This window comes from Homo sapiens, chromosome 1, assembly GCF_000001405.40.
Source record: "Homo sapiens chromosome 1, GRCh38.p14 Primary Assembly".
Lineage (NCBI taxonomy): Eukaryota > Metazoa > Chordata > Mammalia > Primates > Hominidae > Homo > Homo sapiens.
Window position 1 is genome coordinate 115023098 of NC_000001.11, and position 24706 is coordinate 115047803.

Below are 24706 nucleotides of genomic sequence, written 5' to 3' on the forward strand. Positions count from 1 at the left end.
AATGAGTTCATGAATAGCCATTGTTCCCAATAGAAGATAATTCTAAACACTAGGAAAACTCATACATATGTAGTGAGACAAGTTAACTACATTATGGATTTGTTATTCTGTGACTACCACTGATTAATTTGCTAACTAAATTTTTGATTAATTTTTGCATATAATCATACTGCAAACTTCTTTAGAAATAAAAGGTGTGCTAAAAAAAGATAAGAAAAGTTTAAAATTTTTGGATGAGATTAATAGCATATTGTTCATTAGTTGCTGAGAAGTGGTTATACCTGTTATTGTGAATACAATTAATACTGCTCACATTATTCAGCCAGATAAATAATATCTAATTACCAAGAGGTTATATAAAGTAACATAAGTAGAAAGAAAGATATTATACTAAGGGATAGAGAAACTAGTTTTGACAGACAGGTAAGGAAAATTGGATACCAAGCTGACTTTATAACACTACAAATTTTATGACAGAAGATGTTAGCAATTTCTATTAACATTTATAGATGACCTTAATTTCAAAAAATGTTTTGAAATAGAAAAGAACTTGCATACATTCATGTAAATCTGGTATACAAGGGGCTTTAATCTGTTACCAAAAGAGAAAAGCAAATTGACATAATTTTTATACATATTAAATCAATTTTGTCTTCTCACTTGAGAGCTTTAAAATAATAAAATGCTCAATATGCAGATAGGGTGAACTCTGTTTGCTACCAATTATCTGTATTAAGAAAAAAAGCATGGAAAGGAATTAAGTAAACAAACAGGTTTTGTTTCATGTTGCAGGCCATTTTAATATGACTGTTACTGATAACTCAGGCTTAAGATGGCTAAACTGATTATTTTAAAAGTGTCTATATTGCCCAGGATTTTAGAATTTTATGGATATAGAGAATAGTAGGAGCTAGAAAAGTACCCAATCTTTGGGGTAAAGGATAATGTCAGTAAATCTGATTCATATTTTAATGCCACTTCTCTGTTTAGCTAAGTAAAGAGTACGAGTGTTTGTTTTTCTTTGAAAATGAGTTAAAATTTTAATGCAACAAAAACGATGTCAAGAAACTTGGATTTTAGCCTGACTTTGCCTATAACTATCTATAGAACATCAGAGCATTAAATAACCTCTCCATGGATGCAAAATGTCAGAATAGGATCTATGTTTCCATTTATTTATGTAATCAATATTTACTGAGTACCTAATATATAGCAGAGGCTGGTTTGGATTCTGAAGATATGGTGATGAGCAAGACAAACAAAGCTTCCATTTAAATTGCTTACAGTCTGGTTGGAAAGGGGGAGACAGAGAATAAGTATATAAACAAATAATATAGTATCAGAAAATGCTAAGTGCAATGAAGAATATATGAGATAACAGGATAAAAAGTGACAGTGGCAGTAGGCTGCATTAGACTGGGTGGTCAAGGAAGGGTTTTCTAAAGAAGTAATTTTTAAGCTGAGATGATAAGGAGAAAGCCATTCAAAGACTTGTTGAAAGGTTGCTCCATAATGAACAAATAGCAAATGTAAAAGCACTGTTCCAAGAACAAGTTTGGAATGTTCTAAGGGACATAATAAATAAAAGGTGGAGAGAGGTGGGTATGACATGAAGTTAGACAAGTAGGCACAGATGATTTCCACCTACCATATTTTTTATCAGTTTTATTGAGGTATAATTGACATACAATAAATTGCATATATTAGTTTCCTGGGACTGCCATAACAAAGTACCATAAACTGAGTGGTTTAAAACAACAGAGATTTATTTTCTTACAGTTTTAGAGGCCAGAAGTCCAAGATCAAAGTGTCTGCAGGACCATGTTCCCTCTGAAGCTGCTGAGCTAGGATGTATTCCAGGCCTCTATTGCAGCTTCTGGTAGTCCTTGGTTTGAAGCAACATAATTTCATTCTTCACATGGCATTCTCCTTGTTCATGTGTCTGTGTCCAAGTGTCCTCTTTTTGGAAGGGGATATATCCAATCATATTGGCTAGTGGCCTACTTTACTCCAGTATTATTTCATATTAATTAATTTCATTTGTAATGAACTTATTTCCAAATAAGTTCACATTCTGATATACTACAGGTTAGAACTTCAACATTTGAATTTTGGGGGTACATAATTCAACCCCTAACCCTGCATATATTTTGGTAGGTTTTAACATATGTATATCCTGTAAAACCATCATCACAATCAAGATAATGAACACATTTTTCACCTCCTAAATATTTCCTCTGCCCCTTGGAAATCCCTCTTTCTTCCCCTTCCTTGCCTTTCCTCATCCCCAGGCAATCATTAGTCTGCTGTCTTACACTAATTTGTATTTTCTGGTATTTTATATAAACTGAATTATATGGCATGTACTCTGTTTTGGTCTGTCTTAATAACATTAAGATTATAACATAATTATTGATGTTCATGTCACTGCTGTGTCAGTAGTTTATTCCTATTTACTGCTGACACATATTCTACTGCATATATATGACATATTTGTTTATCACCTGTGGATGGACATTCAGGTTGTTTCCAGTTTGGGGCTATTAAAAATAAAGATGCTATAAATGTTTATGTACAAGTTCATGTATGGATATATCTTATTATTTCTCTTAGATAAATACTGAGGAGTGGAATGATTGGGTCATATTGTAGGTGTATGTTTAACTTTTTGAGAGACTTATGGACTGACGAACTTGTACCATTTTATGTTTCCATCAAACATTGTATACAAATTTCGATTGCTCCACATCCTTGCTAACCCTTGGTATTTCCAATTTTTAAATTTTAGGCAGCCCAAGACGTGTGTAGTGCTGTCATTGAGGTCTTAATTTCTTATCTCTGAGACTAATGATGAAAATTTTTCATCTGTTTACTTCCCATCTACATAATTTTGTGAAATGTCTATTCAAACATTTGCTTATTTAAAAAATTGGATAATTTTTTTCTTATAATTGAGTATAGCAGGTTCTTCATATATTCTGTATACAAGTTCTTTATCTTATATATAATTTGCAAGTTTCTTTTCTTTCAGTTTGTGGTATGTCGTTCTTTTAACAATGCCTTTCGAAGAGAGAAGTTCTTAATTCTGATGGAGTCCAATTTATCATTTTTTGAAAATGGATCATGCTGTTGGTGTTATATCTAAGAAAGTTTTGCCTAATTCAAGTTTTGCCTAACAAAAGTTTTTTTTTTTTTTTTTGGGACGGAGTCTCGCTCTGTCGCCCAGGCTGGAGTGCAGTGGCGGGATCTCAGCTCACTGCAAGCTCCGCCTCCCGGGTTCACGCCATTCTCCTGCCTCAGCCTCCCAAGTAGCTGAGACTACAGGCGCCCGCCACTACGCCCAGCTAATTTTTTGTATTTTTAGTAGAGACGGGGTTTCACCGTTTTAGCCGGGATGGTCTCGATCTCCTGACCTCGTGATCCGCCCGCCTCGGCCTCCCAAAGTGCTGGGATTACAGGCGTGAGCCACCTCGCCCGGCCCTAACAAAAGTTTTATTCCATGCTTTCTTCTAGAAATGTTAGAATTTTAGTTTTTATATTTCATGTTAATATTTGTATATAATGCAAGATATGTATTGAAGTTATTTATTTATTTTTAAAAAGTATTTATTTTTATATATGGATAACGAATTGTTCCAGCACCATTTGTTGAAAATACTATTTATTTTCTACTCAATTTTGTTTTCACCTTTCTTGAAAATAATTTGACCACATGTGTACAGGTTTATTACTGGACCATATTTTGTTCCAATGATCTGTCTTAACACCACTTTCTTAATTACCATAGGTTTACCATCTTGAAATCAGCGATTCAGTAAGATTTTCAACATAGATGGTCATGTCGTATGTGAATAAAATTTTACTCCTTCCTTTCCCATCTGAATGTCTTTTTTCCTTTGGCTTATTGCGTTAACATTGCACTTACAGCACAGTGTTTAATAGAAGATGCAAAAGCAGACGTTTTTGCCTTTTTCCTGATCTTAGAGTAAACGTACTCTGTCTTTCAATATTAAGCATGATATTAATCATAAATTTTCCATGATGCCTTTTATTAAGTTAGGAGGTTTTCTTCTATTCCAAGTTTGCCGAAAATTTTTTCAGGAATCTATGTTGGATTTTGTAAAATGCTTTTTGTGTATGTGGTTGTGTGTGTGTGTGTGTTTCCATTGGGATCATCATAAGGCTTTTAGTTTTTAGCCCGTTAGTAGGGTGAATTTTCTTAATTGAATGCAAACTAAACTCGCATTCCTGAAATAAATTCCACTTCGACCATGATGTATTATTCTTTTTACATATTGTTTATTTTGTTTTGTTAAATTTTGTGAAGAATTTTTGCATCTATGTTCATTTCATGAGGGTTATTAGTTTGTGGTTTTCTTTTTTGATAATGTCTTTCTTGTGAACTCTAGCTGCCTTGGGGATCCATGGACTCCCAGGTCTATCTCTTCAATTTGGTGATGCTTCTGGCCTCTGCCTTGGTAACTTTTCATGCACTATGGCACAGAAACTTTCTCCAGGCAGTCTCTCCCTGTTTGTTTCCCATCTCTCTCGGATCATGTACTTTTGTTACCTGATGTCCAATATGTATAAAGACATTATTTTATATATTTTGTACTGTTTTATAATTATTTTAGGTGAGAAAGTAAACCTGGATCAGAAGCACAAATTCAACATGCCTGGATTCTTTTAACAGTATGAGATCATATACACTAAGGCCTCTTTAGCAAGAAAATCACTACCCAAATGCATGGTATTTATTATAGTTCTTTTAGTAACAGGCCAAGTGTCTATCAGTTGTCCATTACATATGTACACACACACATACATACATATATCTCCCAGGGATAGGTATATAAATCCGCTAGAAAATGAGTTCCTGAATCAATGCTTTATACAAAGGAGGCACTAATTCCATTAGAAACACACATCCAACATTCTTCCATTTATCATATTCCTGTGTTAGCATCTTGTCTGAAATTAGGTTGGCACACTCATTTCCAGTTTCCCTGTTTTCAAAATTATCTTACTACATAGTAGCTCACATTCCCAAGACCTTGGACCCTGGCATGGCCATTTCTAGGTATATATCTGTTAAACTAAATGTGGCCTGAGGATACCTCTGTTTTGTGAGTTCCTACATAATGAACTGCAACCTAACTTAGTATGTACACTACCTGAAAGCCTAACTTAGGAGTATACTTTTGTAACAGACAGCTGAATTTCAGCTCATCACAGCAGCTGAGCTTCAGTCAATTACAGGCAGCCAGCTGATCAGACTTTGTCCAAGTAAGGCAAGTGCTGATGTATAATGAAATCAAGCTGTTTCGATATCTCATTTCTACTTTCTGTCCATAAATGCTGTCTGCCCACATTGAGGAGCAGAGCTCTGTGAATCTCTTCTGATTCTGAGGGCTGCCTGATTTGACAATCATTCTTTTTTCAATTAAACTGACAAAAACAAGCAATGGGGAAAAGATTCCCTGTACAATAAATGGTGCTGAGATAACTGGCTAGCCATATGCAGAAGACTGAAACTGGATCCCTTCCCTACACCATATAGAAAAATCAACTCAACGTGGATTAAAGACTTACATGTAAAACCTAAAACTGTAAAAACCCTCGAGGATAACCTAGGAAATATCATTCCAGATGTAGGACCGGGCAGAGATTTCATGACGAAGACGACAAATGGAGTTTCAACAAGAACAAAAGTTGACAAATGGGACCTTTAACTAAAGGGCTTCTGCATTATGGCCCAGAAACTTTCTCCAGGCAGTTTCTCCCTGTTTGTTTCCCATCTCTCTAGGATCGTGTACTTTTGTTACCTGATGTAACAGGAAAAGAAACTATCAACATAATAAACACACAACCTACAGAATGGGAGAAAATATTTGCAAACTATGCATCTGACAAAGGTCTAATATCCAGAATCTATAAGGAGCTTAAACAATTTATAAGCAAAAACTGAAGAACCCCGTTAAAAAGTGGGCAAAAGACATAAACAGACACTTTTCAAAAGAAGATATATACATGGCCAATAAGCATATGAAAAAATGCTCACACCACAAATCATTAGAGAAGTGATATTACCTTTTAATAGAAACTGAAGAGGTCAAGCATGCCAATGTCATATGGCAAGTAAATGGCAGGGCCAAAATTTTATCTCAGGTCAGCTTGACATCCTGTCAGATGTGGCCATGTTCCTCAGAGTCATTCTTTCACATGTGTAAATTTTACTTAATATCTTAAAATCCCCCAAAAATATTTTGAACTACACATTTTGTTCTAAACAAAATTTTTAGATGAGGAATAATTTTATATATCTTTACATGAACATTTAGGTAAAACTTGAAGCCCTCAAGCCCCAAATAAATTTTTATTCCCAAGACTTATTTAGATGATGTTAGAGTGTTTTTTGAATTTGGTTTTTCCCATTCTGTATCTATCTTTTATTAATATTAATAAATAAATATTAATAAAGAATATATTTAAAAGGTAATTTTATTTTGAAACAGAAGAGAGGAAAATGCATGCTTTAATAATGTCAGTTTCCAGGTAAAGATATTGTGAGCTTGTTTGTCTAAATACATTTTATTTGGAATTCAGTATGAATTTTCAATAGATGCTTTTCAGATAAGAAAGCAGTAAATCAAATGCAATTGTATAAACAAGAAGATCAGAGGGATTATCCTGAAGGGTATAAAATGAACCAAGAGCTTTTAGTTTGGGTCACCACAGCATCTGCTCACCAATGCAAAGTAAGGTAGGTGTCTATAGTGAGAAGGCTCTGTGAAATGATATGTTCTTAAGCTATTTTTTTTCACTTTCACCATTTTATCATTTTTTAGAAAGTGGCAAATGCTGAAAGATAATTTGCTTCAACAGGCTGTAATATCTTAAATTACTGCTCCAAATTGTTTAGTAGTAGATGGAGGTGAGAGAACTACCTACATAAGGATAAGGAAAAAATTCATTGACTTAAAGAAAGAGAAACAACTGATTAGTTCCCTAATGAAGGATATTTGATATTCATGGCTTTCTTCTGTTTTCATTTTGATTTAAATATTGTTGTCCATTTAATGATGTGTGTATTAAATCCTCTCAATTACTGTACTAATGGCCATCTTTTATGAAAATGTACTTCCGGGAATGTTAGAGCAAATTCATTTTTGAGTACCTGCTGGGGTAATGTACTCTGTATTATAAGTTCTTTTTAGTTATTTAATAGCTAAACCTCCTTTGATAGTGTTCAACACACACACAGCTGCTGTATAGTACATTTTGCTTTCTAGAAAAATATACTGCTTTAGTGAAGTTCCAGGATTATTCATAGGATGGGCAATTAGTTCTTTTCATAGTAAGGGATTTGGAGAGTAAAAATTAATGAAGGAAATTAGCAGAGCAGAGAGGAAAGTGTTTATTAAGAATGAAGCATTGGGAGCAAAAATAAGAGAAAAAAAGAGAGGAAAGAGGCAAAGGAAAGAACATATCTTGGAATAAGAAAATACGTTCAAAGTAGGGACATATATGTCCATGCATCTGAAGAAGGCATCTCATTATTTAGGCCCTGCCTGAAACCATGCCTTCTATGTTTAGGTACCCAACAAATTATTCATGGTGATTTCAGAATAAGCAATTAAGTGGCAAAGATGAGAACCCAGATGACAATGAGGAAGAAATTGTGGCATATCACAGAGGAAGGGATTAACTAACGCGGATTTGTACAGTGTTATACAGCTATGTGATCTTTCTTATATAGAGAGCCAAGTGTTTCACATGTATTGTTTTATTCTTTTTATGATTTTAGGAAGGGACATATGGAAAAATGAAGGCACAAAGATATTAAATTGCTCAGTTGCACACAATTACAATTAAATCCTTAAGTAGAATTTAGATCACTAACTCTTAATCAATCAATCAGATCTGACACTAATTTATCATATAGAATTACAGACTATTTGTGCTGCGAAGATTTTCATGATCATCTTCTGGCTCTAAGCCCTGCTTTTATAGGTGAGAAAGTTGAGGCCCAGAAAGATTCTGTGGGTGAAGTTTTACTATTCGCAATAAAGAAGTAAAGGAAAAGAAAAGTTCTTGCTTTCTTTATGCCCACAAAGTTGTACAGATACTGTGGCTGGTAATTCAGCACTTCCATTTTCTACTTTTGTTAGTTTAGAGTTCTACATTTATAGGAGAAACTTCAAAAAAATATAGAGTATCCATAGTTAGTATGACAATAGGAAAACCAAAACAAATTTTCATCCTACATTTTAAAAAGGGTCAGGTGTACTTGTCACTTTCTATTTTGCAGATGGGGAAATAACACTCAAACAGATTATATATTTTAGTCAAGTTCTCATAGATTTATGGAAGAATTCTGTTTCTTAATTTTTAGACCAATATTTTCATCACCAGGTCACCACATTGATTTTATACAGAATTATAGAGCTAAAAGTTAAAATATGTGAAGTTAGTTGTTTCCTATAGAAAAAACTCAGTAGCTGGCTGTCTAAACAAGCAAGAACTATAATGGCCATGATGGGTAAGCATTTTACATAATTTACCAGTTAGTAATTTTAAGATCCTACAGAGGATCATCAAGTTCTGTATCTCTAAAATACTGGAAGCAACTCTGTACCATAGAGGGAGCTCACATTTGAGAAGCGCTTGAGAAAGCCAGATTCCATGAGTAAGGAATTTGTATGTTTTTGCTCCTTAACTCAAATACCAAACAAACCTTCCGTGGAATGTTTGAATATGCAACATTTCATTTAAAAGAATTTGTGAGAAAAACCCCTGTTATTTTAACCTTTAAAAGTTAAGTCTTCCTAAAATGGGTTAGTTTACTTTCTTGTGTAATAAGAAGTATAGTAAACATAAATCTTTGATAATTGTAGGTCTTAAAGTCTTAATTTGGACTCTTTCAGAGCACTAGAACAATCTGCGTTTTTATTATTTGTGTTCATATTAGCTCCTCCACTGGACAGTCAGCCCTTTAGGTAAAGGACCGTAGCTTTTCCGTTTGTGTTTGTCAGTGCCTGGTTCAGATGCTCAATATATGTTTATCTAATTTATCTACAATTCTCATTCTAGGAATAGAAGGTTGATTGAAATGACCACTGATCTCTGGAATTTGACATTTAAAATAAATCCCTGGTAACCTGTGTAATGTGGTTTTCATGGTTTCTTATAAGTTGATTGAAAAAAAAATCCTGGTTAACCAAGGCCGAACCTATGAGGTTTCAGTTTACAGAGGTTTTAGTGTATATAGCTTAAAGATGCTGTTGGGATATAACTGACAGATTTGGGGAAATCTTGGTACTTCTGATTATTGAACAAAATATTTAGTAAATTATATTTTATTTAATAGAACAAGCAAACAAGTTTATGTTCATAGACCACAATACTACTCCATTAAGGTATATATTTTCTTTACTGACAATGATACTTGAGAAGGAAAAAAATCCAAACACATCTAGCTAGCTGTACAATATTTGTAAGATTAAAAAAATTCTTCTTAATCTTCAAGGTGATCAACTTACATTCAAAAGTCTGAAATTTAATTACCCTTCCTCAGTAGTAGACCTAAAATAATTATGTCATAACATTATCCAGAGGGATAATGATATCAATATCAATATCATATCAATATCATATTGATATGATATATCCAATATGATATCATATCCAATATAACTATATCCAATCAATACATATTGATAATGATATCCAATTGATATTGAACAAGTTCTTCATCACGCAGGCTCTATTGAGATGCATGTTCTGTTTCTGCCTGAGGCACTGTGGATCCTCTATTTTCTTCCATGCATCCAAAAATTATTTAATATTCCTGGCTAACCCATAATGGAGCTGTCATCCTTGATTGTATTCTTCTAATTGTGTCAACCTTTTTTTTTTTTTTGCCTGTTAATCTTTTTGAGAACAAATTACATACCTGTTCTGTGTAAAATAATCTTTAATTTGTCCCAGCTGTACATATTTCCACCTTAAAGGGATATCCTAAGGGTTTGGAAGTGGGATCAGGGGGTTCCTAGATTTCTGAGTTAGCCCCTTAACACCAGTTGTAATTTCAGTTGACCTTTTTTGGACTTTATCTTTCTGGTGTCTTCCTTGACCAAATGGTAGAATTATAAGCATGATCATATGCATTGGGATGGTACTGAAGTTTGGTTATACTTTTTCTTGGTTTCTTTGCCCTTTCTGATTTTAACAAATAGGTTCTTTAATTTTATCTTTGATTTAGCATGACTGCTCTCTTTCTGATGTCCATGCTTTTTGGCCTTACATGTGGGCAAGCGATGTCTTTTTGTATTCCAACTGAGTATACAATGCACATCGAAAGGAGAGAGTGTGCTTATTGCCTAACCATCAACACCACCATCTGTGCTGGATATTGTATGACACGGGTATGTAGTTCATGTCACTTCTTTTGGCTGTAAATTATATAAGCCCTGAAGAAGTCCATTCCTATATAGAAAGGAAATGAAATAAATCACAACCTCATTTCCCAAATCTAATGGTTATTGGCTCCTTAGAAGCAGAGTACACAGGTTACAATATTATGTGAATCTACTCAGCACAATGGATACGCATAATTTTATAACAGTTTTGTGTCCCAGCTTTACTTAAACCTTATCTTGTTCCCATGATCAACGATGAAAGAGAGGAGGGTCTCACTTTTGTCTCTGTAGAATTCAACGTGGTTAAGTTGGTATTGGAGAATGGGGCTAAGCAATTCTTTCCCAGTTGTATTTGTGATGAAGGAATATAAGTGAATTTATTTTTATGTTTCTATTATCTATATGTTTCCTAAAGTCCTGTCACATTATGCTCTCTTTTCTGTTCTTTCCCCAGGATATCAATGGCAAACTGTTTCTTCCCAAATATGCTCTGTCCCAGGATGTTTGCACATATAGAGACTTCATCTACAGGACTGTAGAAATACCAGGATGCCCACTCCATGTTGCTCCCTATTTTTCCTATCCTGTTGCTTTAAGCTGTAAGTGTGGCAAGTGCAATACTGACTATAGTGACTGCATACATGAAGCCATCAAGACAAACTACTGTACCAAACCTCAGAAGTCTTATCTGGTAGGATTTTCTGTCTAATAGTGATATAATTTGCAATTTGGTTAAATGTGCTTGCCTGAAATAAAGCTAATAAAAATATTATGTTTCACATTATCTTCTGTTCATTTTGAGTACTATTTAATCCATACCCATACCTACACAGGCGTTAGAGAGCTTAAGTGGTTTTAGAAGAAAAGGTGAATGAATGGACCTTTTGGGCTCAGTTGAAGGTTGGTTTTCACGTGAAAGAGCAGAGTGGTGGTAAAATGGAGAACAGGGATATGAAATGCCAAAAAGCTCACCTTGAACAGTCTCTCCTAACAGAGGGCCAGGAGGTTTCTATGATATAGAAAGTGAATGTGGGATGACTACAGAGTTATGAAGAGAGAGTAATGTGATCAAAAGCTGAAGGAACACATGGTGTCAGGATACTGGAGACATCTACTTCCAAAGGCTAGAAGCAGGGCTGGCATGGAGGTGGGGAGTAAGGAGCATGTGGAATCTACAGTGGAGTGCTTTATTCCTGGTCATTCAAATGCACTGGATAAAACTCCACCCAAACTCAGAAGAGTCTAGGAACTATTTTCTTTAATTAATTACTCTGGTGCACCAAGTGACCTATGAAAGTTATACCCCAAAAAGTCAGTTTACAAAGCCTAGAAAAGAGGCCACGATCATTTTACATGTGGAAGTCTAAATCCTTTGTAGGCCTTCAAGTAATAGGAGATGCTTTTCAGCATTTATACCAAAAGTAACTGGTGCTGTTTTGACTTTTAATGTAATGAAAAACTGGTATGACAATAAAAGGTTTTAGGGATGGGGGAGAGTGCAAAGGGATTTGAGAGAGTGGAATTATTCTAAATTCTAATCTAAACCTTCATCAATATTGAAACACTGTTTTCTGGTAAATGTGCTTGGTAAGCAGCTGTTTATTTTTATTCTCCTTCCTTAGACACTCTTTCATGAGAATTTGGTTTCAACAGATGATTGACGTGAGACAGACCCAGTGCCCTGTAGACTTGATCTCAAAAAGTTGATATATCCTCTCTTTGTCCATTCCTTTTCATTCACACTGCCCCACCAAGGTGAAAAACAGTTGTCAGCAGGGCCAGTTGCCTTTGCTGTATTCTATAGCCACCAGTTAAATTCAGCTAGGCATACTGTAAATGTCTGTATGCTGATTGATAGTGCATGGGGTGGGCTGAGGAGGGTGGTGGTGGTAGTGGTGGGGTCCTGTAGATGGATTAGTACAACAGGGAGGGAATAGATGTGTATTTACATACAAAAGTCAGAACTCACATTATTTTACTTTAATATCTGAAATTGGTATTTGTGTGGTCTCCACATATTAATCTAGGGTTTTGTGTTCTCATATCAGCTGATAACATGGACATTTAAAGCTGCATACCACTTAAACTGTATGTCAAATACAGATCTTTAATAAATAAAAAGTCTAATGTTCAAATCTAACAGGGACTAGTCACAAATGCCTTCATGGATTCTGAAAAAGTTTTCTCAAGGATTTGAACTGTCTGAGTCTAAGTGCAATAAAAATTCTTTTATAAAGTTAACTTCCACTCTACTGTTCACTGTTGGGTTCTTCCCTACTTGCTTATCTCTCCTGGTTAATCCCCACTTATAAGACAACTCTATCTCACTTTCTCTACTTCTGCTACCCTCCTTCTACCTGCCGTTTCTGCCTGCTTAGCATCCATGTCTCTTCTTCTGGTAGCTGCACCTTGATTTCCCTCTGGGGTTCTCTTCACCTACAGTTTGAGTTCAAGTGGTTTCAGTGGGGATGATGAGGGTGGGTATGCTACTAGGCTCAACCAAACCTGGACTATTAGAAAGAGAAGTGGTTGGCCTGTTGGAGTTCCTAAACTGATAAAATGTGAGCCTGGAGTTGCTGCTGGCCATCTTTGGCATCCCTTGGAAACAGCTAGCTGTCCAACCCAGTGGAGAGCAAGAGAGACTGAGGAGAGAGAGGCCTATTGATATCATTTGAGCCTAATCTGAAGCTGGCTTCACCCCTTAAAAGAAACCATAACTTCCCTTTTCTGCCCAGTTAGAGTTAGGTTTCTGACACTTGCAACTGAGAAGTTCTGATAGATTCAGCTCTTTCCCACTAGTTTCAGAAGATGCTCCTAATTCCATTCCTCATCTCCCCTAGGACTTCATTGTTTGCTGTCGTATTTTCTCTTGCTTCCTTTTTCTTGATTCCTTCTTTTCAGTATGAAGCATCCTTAAATCTCTTTCCATCATAAAAAAAGCAAAAGCAAAAAAACAACCCTCTCTTGATCCTCTGCAACCATCTAGTTATTTGCCCCCTCTCTCCTTGAGTTCTTATTTCGAGTTTTGTGTGTGTGTGTGTGTGAAAGAGCCCACTACACTAACCAACTACTTCCTCACTTCTCGTTCTCTTCACAATCATTACAATTTGGCTTCCACTATTGTCCCCTCTTGAAATTGTTTTCAGTAAGGTCAACAATGACTTGCTAATGGGCCAATATACAGGACAACTGTTAGTCCCAATCTGCCCTGACCTCCCTTCTTCCCTAGAGGGCCCAGTGGTCCTCACATATCTGGATTCACAATGCAATACATCTTATTGTAGCAGCCTTGCCAATGCACCACAATGTTTTAGTTTTGTTGTTTTTAAGTAGGACTCAGAGTTCTTTGTCTTACCACCAAGAAAATTAAGGAGCATGAACACTAGGGTGAGGATGAAGCGAAAGTTTAATAAGTGAAAGGAGAAAGCTCTCCTTTCGAGCAGGAAACTGAAAGAGGGTTGCTATTCTACAGTGGAATACAAGGGCTTTTATAAACAGGCTAGTAGGGCAAGATATTTCATTTACATAAGGTGTAAAAAAATGGTTAGGACTAGGTGTTTCATTTGCATAAGACACAAATTCCTGACAGCTCCTCCCTGTCTTTTTAGTGTGCATGTGGACTCTTAGCCTAAGTTACTCTATATTACTTAGTTTCCCTTACTGTGCATGTGTAAGGGGGCGGAATTCTCCATTGTGGATGTGCCGGGTTCTGTGTTACTGCTCTTGGGCATGTTTCAAGCAAGCCCTCTCCTCCCTCCCCTGTGCAAACTCCCTTATCTCAGTATGTTCAAAAAAGGAAAGGAATGTGCTCACTGAAGCCTACTGTGTATAAGTGACCCTTGCTAATTACACAGAAGGTATCTTCATGGTGGACCTTGCCTCCTTATCTATGCTTGCAGTCTGATCTTTCAGGCTGTTCCTTTTTTAGACAAAAGGAATCCTACAGAGGACTTATCCTAGCTATCTGCCTAACTGGTTCCTTTCTTTCTTTTTCCTCATTATGGCATTTATAACCAGTCTTAAACAAGATGAAATCCACATTTTCTCCTTTTTTCATGTTTTCTTTCTACCCTCCTTCTCCAAGATGACTCAAAATCTATGCCATGGTCTTTAGCAGGCAACAGTAATGTAGGTCTGGACTGTATTTTTGCTTGGTGATTTTGCTTGATTCTGTAGCGATGAAGATTCTAAACTTTGTGAAAGGAGGGCCAGTGTGGTGATAACTTTATGTGTCATATTGACACTTTGGACATTGTTAAATGTACAGCATATGAGAAACTTGGGTTTGTATTAATTCAGCCTTGGATATCCTAAGGATTTATACTCATTAAAGACAGTTTTGATGGCAGTTGTTAAAGAAACACAGGCAGCTAAGAAAGACTCTCCAAGTTTAGGATAAGAAATAGGTGGGGAGCAAAGAATTACTGCGGGATTTTAACTTACTAAAGTAAGTTTAAAACTTTCTTGCTGGGGATTTAATCATAAGAGGTGGCTTATCTTGTTCAAATATGGGCATGACCATGCTTATATTGATTCCTACAGTTTTAGTTCAGACTTATTTTCCTGAGCTTCAGGGCCATATATCTAGTGCTTGTTTATATTTCCTCTTGGGTATCCTATAATCATCTCCACCCCATGTCATCATCACAATCTGCTTTTCCTCCTGTGTACCACTATCTTCCACCTGCCAAGTCGGAAACCTGGGAATTACTCCAGATTCCTCTTTTTCTTTCATCTCTCACATCCAATTTCTCTTAAGTCTGTCTACTTCTTAGTAGGCTTTCCAGTACATTAGCTACAAATCTTCCTGACTCTGGTGTTTGCCATCCAGTAATTCTTCATATTAAGACTAAGTGATTTTTAAAAGGTTCAAGTCTAATTTTGTAACTCACCATGTAAAATTTTCCCCATGGCCTCAGGACAAAGATAGCACTCAAGTATACTTTAATAGGGCTATTTATCTCCTTAGCACTTGACTCATTTTCTTTGAATGTTTCCATGCCTTTAATGTTTCAGGCTCTTCTTGCATGCTGTTCCCCAGCAATCCCCTCATCTTCTTCTACTACTTTTGACTTGGCTAATTAGTATGGGTTCTTTAGGACTCAGTTTAGAGACTCCAACATAAACGAAGCCTCTCTCCTGACCACTCTCCCCAAAGGTGAGCGGGCCTATTCTGTGTTAATGAGTATCATAACACTTATCTATAGTAATATGCTTGCTTGTTTTTTTCCATAATAAGCTGCTTGACAGCAGAGACTTGTCTTGCCCATCTTAGCATATCAATATTCTTATAGTTTTTCCAAATGTACAAAATAGTAACCCCCAAAGTAAAAAACCAATCCAATATTAGTGTGGGTTTCATCTTATAAGGTAGAGTAGGCCCAGAGAAAAGCATAAGGACTCTAGCTATGGCTACTGATCTCAAGTCTTTGAATTAAAATAGAATTGGGAAAGATATCAAAAGCTATTCATTAATTCTACAAATAAATGTGTTCAAATGGATAATTGGTATCACAATGAAATATGTTCAGTTATGCATCATTTCTAGAAAGCTGTTTGACTTGTAATTAGCAAAAAGTTCTCCTTGGCTCACACCTGTAATCCCATCACTTTGGGAGTCCAAGGTGTTCAGATCACCTGAGGTCAGGAGTTCGAGGACCAGCATGGCCAACATAGTGAAACCCCATCTCTACTAAAAATACAAAAATTAGCCAGGTGTGGTGGCGCATGCCTGTAATCCCAGCTACTAGGGAGGCTGAGGCAAGAGAATCACTCGAACCCAGGAGGTGGAGGTTGCAGTGAGCCGAGATCATGCCACTACACTCCAGCCTGAGCAACAGAGTGAGACTCCATCATCTAAAAAAAAAAAAAAAAAGCAAAAAACCAAAAAACCAAAACCTCTCCTCATCAGAGTATTAACATAATTACAACAGATAATATTCATTACTTGCCAGGTATGCTAGGCATTTTATATTGGTAATTTCTTTTAATTTTTTTCCATTTAATATAAGAACATCATAAATTATACAGACAACGCTGCCTCCTGCCACAAACAACTACCAAAGCTTTGAAAGGATTTCTGATACATTAGCTAAAAACTTTATGAAATCAGCATAGATTATGCTTTGCAACATTCAGGACATGTTACTCCTGTTCTTCCTGGTTCCCCTATCCCCAGGAGATAAACTATATGAACAGTGGATTTCTGGAATGTATTTAGCCTTTGCTGTTATAATGAGGATATTTTTAAAAATCATTTTGCATTGGTGAAGTCTTTTTACCTTTCAAAAGAAACTTACATATAATACCTTACAGGTACATGTTATAGTAAAAAACGAAGGATCATGCTGAAAAAAAGTAGAAACCTTTTGTCCCTCTTAAAATCTAACTTAACATAAATTTGATTTGGATGAGCCCGAACTAAGATAATGCAGTTAATCTACTAGCTTTGAAGGCCCATGAGTGTTCTCTCCCAGGGGTGGCGAAAATGATGTTGTTGAAATTGAGGAGCTGGTGGTCAAAGAGGATGTCAAAGGGGCCATGAACCAGGAAAGCAGGGGTGTGGTGCACCTACTAAAGTTCCAGTGGCTTTCCCAGTGGCTGTGGAAACTCCATTTTACCCATGACAGAAGGGTACCTCTTCCTTTTCATCTTTGATAAACCTGTTTCAGAAGGGAAAACATGCTATCTCCTTCATTGCCATCTTCCCACCAGCCTCATTCTCACTCAGCCAAATCTATAAACACCGCTCACAGGGTAAGGAGAACAATTATAGTTGCTGACTGCATGGGGAACCACACTGGACCCTGCGTCAGTGTGCAATTTTATAGCTTGAACCATGGATAATAAAGGAGCAATTCTGCGGAAAAGAGGTATAATTTACATAAAAAATATGAATTAAAATACAACTATAGTTGATCCTCAGTATCTGTGGGTTCTGTATCTGTGGATTTAACCGACTACAGATTAAAACAATTTGGACCAAAAAAAAAAAAAATGGTTGCATCTGTACTGAACACGTATAAAATTTTTCTTGCCATTATTCCCTAAGCAATACAGCATAACAAGTATTTATACAGCATGTCCTTTGAATTAAGTAAACAAGTAATCTAGAAATGATTTAAAGTATACAGGAGGAGCTAGGAAGTGGGGCAAGATGCTGGAATAGAACCCTGCAGTGATAGGGCCCCCTACCTGCAGGAACATCAAATTGAACAACTATCTACAAAATAAAGCCCTTTCAAAAGAACTAAGAAATCAGGTGAGAGATCACAGCACTTGGTTTTAATAAAATAACAAGGAAAGATGCATTAAAGAGGGTAGGAAGGACGGTATTGCATTGCCTACACCACCCCATTCCCAACCCCAGGCAGTGCAGCACAGAGAGAGAATCTGCGTGCTTAGTGGAGGGAAAGCAAAATATGAGGGATTTTGCATTGGAACTCAGAGCTGTTCTGACACAGAACACAACACCAGGCAGAATTTCTCTGATGCTCAAGAAGGGAGCACTTCAACCAGTCCCGGGGCAGAGGGGAATCTTTTGCAGCAGGAGGAGGAACACAAGTCACAGCCGGCTTCACTACAGGCTGAGTAAAGTGGTCTGGGGTTCCAAATAAATTCAAGTGGCAGTCAGGCCATAATGACTTCCATCTTTGGGCAAACCCTGGTGTTGCATTGGTCTTGGAGGCAGTGGGATTGGGATGTGACCTGGTGCAACACCAGCTGCAGCAGCCACGAGAGTGCTGGTGTCACCTCATCCCAACTCCAGGCAGTGCAGCAAGAAGGGAGACTCCTTCTGCTTGGGGGAACAAGATGTTACTCTTTGTCTCGCGACTGGGTACCAGCCCAGCCACAGTAAAACAAAGCACCTAGCAGAATCTTGAAGCCCCTATTTCTAGGCCACTGCTCCTGGACCACACTTCTATACCCACTCCAGACCAGGAGGGAATCCACTGCCCTGGCAGGGCAGACCCAATTCTTGGCTGGCTTTACTACCTGCTGACAAAAGTGTCCTTGGGCCTTGAATAAACATCAGTGCAGTCAGACAATAGCAGCCATGGGCCTTGAGTGTCCTAGTCCTATGCTGGTTTGGGAGGTCATGGGTATCAGATGCAACTCAGCGCACTGCCAGCTGCAATGGCCAGAGTGCTTGAGTCACCCCTCCCACAACACCAAGTGGCCAACCCCAGAGAGGGACTCCTGCTTGGGGGAAAGAGAGGGAAGAGAGTGAGGGACTTTTCCTGGGTATCCAGGGACTTCCCTTATTTTTTCCAAGTCCATCAGGGATGGGTATCCAGGAATCTGTAAGGAATCTTAGTGTACCTGGGCTTTGGACACCCTCTAGTGCTGAAATAGCTGTAATGACACAGGCTTACTGAACTCAAGACTCAGCTGCCTTTGAATTCTTAGAAGGCCTTCTGAAAAAGGATGAGGATAAACAAGGCCAGACTATGAAGACTGGAATAAATACCCAACTCTTCAATGCCAAGACATCAATGAGCATCCAAAAGCATCCAGCACAAAACTTCAGGAAAATATGACCTCACCAAACAGACTAAATAAGGGGTCAATGGCCAACATTGGAGTGGTGGAAATATGTGATATCTCAGATAGGAAATTCAAAATAGATGTTTTGAGGAAGCTCAATGAACTTTAAGAAAACAGACAGAAAAAATTCAGAAATTTATTAAAGACATTTAACAAAGACATTGAAATAATAATAATAAAAAAGAAATAGAAATCCTGTAGCTGAAAAGTACAACTGATTAACTGAAAAATGCATAATCACAGTGTCTCAACAGCAGAACTGATCAAGCAGAAGAAAGAATGAGTGATTTCAAAGACAGGCTATTTGAAAACACAAAGTCAGAGGAGAAAAAAGAAAAAAGATTGAAGTACATTACGAGATCTGGAAGATAGCCTCAAAAGGACATATCTAAGAGTTACTGGCCTAAAGAGGAAGTAGAGAAAAAGATGGGGTAGAAAGTTTATTCAAAGAAATAATAGATCACTTTCTAAACCTAAAGAAAGTTATGAATATCCAGGCACAAGAAGGTTAGAGAATACCAAGCACATTCAACCCAAATGAGACTACCCTGAGGTATACAATGATTATGCTCTCAAAGGTAAAGGATAAAGAAAGGATTCTAAAAGCAGCAAGGGCTGCTTTTCTTTTGAAGCAAATAACATATAGAGGAGCCCCAATATGTCTTGCAGCAGACTTCTCAGCAGAAACCTTACAGGCCAAAAGGAAGTGGGAAGACATATTCAAAGTGCTGAAGGAAAAAAACTTTCAACTGAGAATATTGTACCCAAAAAAGCTATCTTTCAAACATGAAGGAGAAATAAAGACTTTGCTAGACAAACAAAAGCTGAAGGAGTTCATGAGCACCAGATCTGACTTACAAAAGATGCTAAAGGCAGTTCTTTAATCTGAAAGAATAGAATGCTAAAGTGTGACAAGAAATCATCTGAAGGTATAAAGCTCATTGGTAAAAGTAAATACACAAATTCAGAATATTCTCATACATTAACTGTGGTGAGTAAACCACTCATATCTTTGGTATGAAGACTAAAAGACAAATCTATCAAAAATAATAACTACAACAATTTGTTAAGACATAAGCAACATAAGGGCGGGTGTGGTAGCTCATGCCTGTGATCCCAGCATTTTGGGAGGCCGAGGCGGGTGGATTACTCGAGGTCAGGAGATTGAGACCAGACTGGCCAACATGGTGAAACCCTGGCTGTACTAAAAATATAAAAAAAATTATCCAGGCATGGCGGCAGGCACCTGTAATCCCAGCAACTAGGGAGGCTGAGGCAGGAGAATAGCTTGAACCTAGGAGGCAGAGGTTGCAGTGAGCTGAGATCACGCCACTGCACTCCAGCTTGTGTGACAAAGTAAGATTACATCTCAAAAAAAAAAAGCGAGAGAGAGATAAACAACATAAAAAGTTAAAAATGGAGACATTAAAAAGTCAAAAAGTGGGGGAAGATGAGTTAAATTGTAGGGTTTTTTAGTTTCTTCTAAAAACAACTAAAAAACTTGGTTGTTTGCTTCTTTTCTTTGTGATGAAAGTTACCAGTTTAAAACAAGTTATTATAACTATAAGATTTTTTGTCTCATAACAATCACAAAGCAAAAACCTATAATAGATACAGTAAAAATAAAAAGCAATGAATTAAAATGTATTACCAGGGAAGATAACCACAGAGAAAGATAGTAAGAATAAAATAAAGGACTTAAGAACCAGAAAACAAACAATAAAATGGCAGTAGTGTTTACCTATCATTAATTACATTGAATGTAAACATGGACCAAATTCTCCAATTTAAAAGACACAAGGTGACTGAATGAATGAAAAAACAAGACCCAACACTTTGTCTCTTTTTAAGTCAGAAACTGCAAAAAGAGACAAAGAAGGTCATTATGTAATGGTAAAGGGATCATTCTGCAAGAGGATATAACAATTGTAAATATAATTGTACCCAACATCAGAGCACAAAAAGAGAGCTAGATTCCAGTACAATAATAGTAGGGAACCTCAAAACCCAACTTTTGCCAATAAATAGATCATACAGAGAGAAAATTAAAAAAAAGAAACATGAAAAGTCAACTACACTCTAGACCAAATGGACATAACTGACATTTTCAGAACACTCATCCTACTGCTGCAGAATACGCATTCTTCTTGCCAGCATATGAAAACATTCTCCAGGAAAGACAACATGCAAGGGCACAAAACAAGTCTTAGCAAACTCAAAAAATTGAAATAATATCAAATATTCAGGCTGCAATGGAATAAAATCTAGAAATCAATAACAAGAAGAACACTGAAAATTGAATAAATACATGAAAATTAAACAACATGCTCCTCAATGACCAATGGGTCAATGAAGAAATTAAAAATATTTTTTAAATTCTTGAAACAAATGAAAATAGAAATACAGCATACCAAACCAATGGAGTACAGGAAAAGTAGCATTAAGAAGGAAGTTTATAGTAATAAATGCCTATATCAAAAAAGTAGAAAGACTTCAAATAGACAAACTGATGATGTACCTTAAAGAACTAGAAAAGCAAGAACAAACCAAATCCCAAATTAGTAGAAGAAAAGAAATAATAAAAACCAGAGTAGAGATAAAATGGACACTAAAAAACAATGCAAAAGAGCAACAAAATGAAAAATGAAATTTTTTAAAAGATAAAAAAATGACAAACTTTTAGCTAGACTAAGGAAAAAAGAAAGACCTAAGTAAATAAGAGACAAAAAAGGAGACATTAAAACTGATACCACAGTAATACAAAAGATCATTAGAGACTTTTGAACTATATGCCAATAAATGGAAAAACCTAGAAAAAATGAATACATTTCTAAATACATACAATTTACCATGATTGAATCATGAAGAAGTAGAAAACCTGAGCAGATTAATAACAAGTAATAAGGTAAAAGCAGTAATAAAAGTCACCCATCAAAGAAAAGCCCAGGACCTGATGGCTTCACTGCCAAATTTTATCAAATATTTAAAGAACACCAATTCTACCAAAACTATTCTCCAAAATTGAAGAGCTAATTCAATGAGTCCAGCATTACCCTGATAGCCATACCAAACAAAAATACAACTACAAAGAAAATGACAGACCAATATTCCCGATGAACATAGATGTAAAAATACTCAACAAAATACTAGCAAACAGAATTCAAAAACGCATTAAGAAGATCATTCACCATGATCAATTAATTGGGATTCATCTCAGGGATACAAGGATGGTTCAACATACACAAATCAATAAACATTAATAGTAACAAGGACAAAAACCATATGAACATTTGAATAGATACTGAAAAGGCGTTTGATAAAATTCAGTATCCTTCATGATAAAAACTCTCAACAAACTGGTGATAGAAGGAACATAACTCAAAACATTAAAAGCCATTTAAGATAAACCCACACCTAACATCACATATTGAACACGGAAAAATAAAAAATTAAAAGCCTTTCTTTTTTTTTTTTCCTTTGAGACAGGGTCTCACTCTGTCGCCTAAGCTGGAGTGCAATGGTGTGATCTCGGCTCACTGCAACCTCTGCCTCCCAGGCTCAAGCAATTCTCGTGCCTCAACCTCCCAAGTAGCTAGGATTACAGGCATGTGCCACCATGTCCAGAGAATTTTTGTATTTTTAGTAGAGACAGGGTTTCACCATGTTGGCCAGGGTGGTCTCAAACTCCTGACCTAGTGGTCCACCTGCCTCGGCCTCCCGAAGTGCTGGGATTACTAGCGTTAGCCACTGCACCTGGCCAAAAATTAAAAGATGTGGAAAAAGACAACAATGCCCACTTTCACCACTTCTATTCAACGTAGAACTGGAAGTTCAATCCAGAGCAATTCAATGAGAGAAAAAAAGGGCATCCAAATTGGAAAGAAAGAAGTCAAATCATCCTTGTTTGCAGAAGACATGTTTTATATTTAGAAAAACCTAAAGATTCCACCAAAAAAATTGTTAGAACTGATAAATGAATTCAGTAAAGTTGCAGAATGTAAAATCAAAATAAAAAAACAGTAGTATTTTTATATGCCAGCAGTGAACAATTTGAAAAAGAAATCAAGAAAGCAATCCCATTTACAATAACTACAAAAAAATTTAGGAATAAATTTAACCAAAGAAGTGAAAGGTCTCTATAATGAAAGCTATGAAATGTTAATGAAATAAATTGAAGAGGACAGAAAAAAATGGAAAAATATTCCATGTTCATGGGTTGGAAGACTTGATATTGTTAAAATGACCATACTACCCAAAGTGTTCCACAGATTCAATGCAATCCTTATCAAAATACCAATGACATTTTTTCACAAAAATAGAAAAAAAATGCTAAAATTCACATGGAACCACACACACACAAAAACTCCTGAATAGTCAAAGCAATCGTTGGCAAAAAGAATAAAAGCTGGAGGCATCACACTACCTTCCTTCAAAGTATACCGCAAAACTATAGTAACCAAAACAGCATGGTATTGGCATAAAAACAAACACATAGACCAATGGAACAGAATAGAGAACCCAGAAATAAATCCATGTATTTACAGCTAACTCACTTTTGACAAAGGCACCAAGAACTTACACTGGGGAAAGAACAGTCTCTTCAACAAATAGTGCTGAGAAAACTGGTTATCTACATGCAGAAGAATGAGACCAGACCCCTATTTCTCACCCTACACAAAATTCAAATGTATTAAAGACTTAAATATAAGACCTGAAACTATGAAACTACTAGAAGAAAACACTGGGAAAATGCTTCAGGAAACTGGTGTGGGCAAATATTTTTGGGGTAAAACCTCAAAAGCACAGACAACCAAAGTAAAAATTGACAAATAGGATTACATCAAGCTAAAAAGTTTCTGCACAACAAAGGAAACAATCAACAGCCACTATGCAAAACAGTTTGGAGGTTCCTCAGAAAACTACCATATGACTCAGCAATCCTACTGCTGGGTATATATCCAAAAGAAAGAAAATCAGTATATCAAAGAGATGTCTGCATGTTCATATTTATTGCAGCACTATTCACAATAGCCAAGATACAGAATTAACCCAAGAGTCCATCAACAGATGGATAAAGAAAATGTGCTATATATACACGATGAAATATTATTCAGCCATGACAATGGCTGAATAATGAATAAAATCCTGTCAATTGCAGCAACATCATAGAATTGGAGGATATTAAGTGATATAAGCCAGGCACAGAAAGACAAATATCATCAAGATGAATCATGTTCTCAGTCATATGTGGGAGCTATAAAAATTGATCTCATGGAGGTAGTAAATACAATGGTGGTTACCAGAGGCTGGAAAGGGTAGCAGGCAGGGAGGGATGAAGAGGGATTGATTACTGGGTACAAAAATACAGTTAGATAAAATGAATAAGTTCTAATATTTGGTAGCACAATAAGGTGACTATAGTTAACAACAATTTATTATATGTTTTAAAAGGCCTAGAAGATCTGGAATGTTCCCAATACAAAGAAATGATAAATGTTTCAGGTAATAGATATCCCAATTACCCTGATGTGGTTATTACACATTGTATGCTAATATCAAAATATCCCATATATCCCAAAAGTATGTACAACTATTATGTAACAATAAAAAAATAAAAATTAAAAAAATAAAGTATATGAGAGGATATGCATAGGCTACATGCAAATACTACACAATTTTATACAAGGGACTTGGACATCTGTGGATTTTGGTATCCACAGGGGGTCCTGGAACCATTC

At 36.3% G+C, this 24706-nt stretch overlaps 1 protein-coding gene across 2 annotated transcripts, besides 2 other annotated features; it reads left to right on the forward strand.

The window, feature by feature from the left end:
• Window positions 6729-11212, forward strand: TSHB (thyroid stimulating hormone subunit beta). Of its 2 annotated transcripts, NM_000549.5 has the most exons (3): window positions 6729-6763; window positions 10265-10427; window positions 10876-11205. In NM_000549.5, the coding sequence occupies exons 2-3, from the start codon at window positions 10266-10268 to the stop codon at window positions 11128-11130; spliced, it is 417 nt and encodes a 138-aa protein (NP_000540.2). In that variant the 5' UTR covers window positions 6729-6763; window position 10265; the 3' UTR covers window positions 11131-11205. The 2 variants fall into 2 exon arrangements, with proteins under 2 accessions (NP_000540.2, NP_001264920.1); NM_001277991.1 differs by lacking the exons at window positions 6729-6763; window positions 10265-10427 and having other exon boundaries at window positions 10849-11212.
• Window positions 14131-14425: an enhancer, noted in NCBI's record as "tiled region #5363; HepG2 Activating DNase unmatched - State 5:Enh". NCBI's record gives its function as "activates a minimal TATA promoter and a strong SV40 promoter by Sharpr-MPRA in HepG2 cells {active_cell/tissue: HepG2}" and the evidence as "EXISTENCE:reporter gene assay evidence [ECO:0000049][PMID:27701403]".
• Window positions 23574-24110: an enhancer, noted in NCBI's record as "NANOG hESC enhancer chr1:115589292-115589828 (GRCh37/hg19 assembly coordinates)". NCBI's record gives its function as "activates a minimal SCP1, AML or CMV promoter by ChIP-STARR-seq in naive H9 embryonic stem cells {active_cell/tissue: H9 hESC(naive)}" and the evidence as "EXISTENCE:reporter gene assay evidence [ECO:0000049][PMID:30033119]".

Coding starts and splice junctions, on each gene's coding strand:
- TSHB (NM_000549.5), top strand. CDS start 10,266: ATGACTGCTCTCTTTCTGATGTCCATGCTTTTTGGCCTTACATGTGGG. Junction 10,428..10,875: donor CTGGATATTGTATGACACGG/GTATGTAGTTCA, acceptor TTCTTTCCCCAG/GATATCAATGGCAAACTGTT.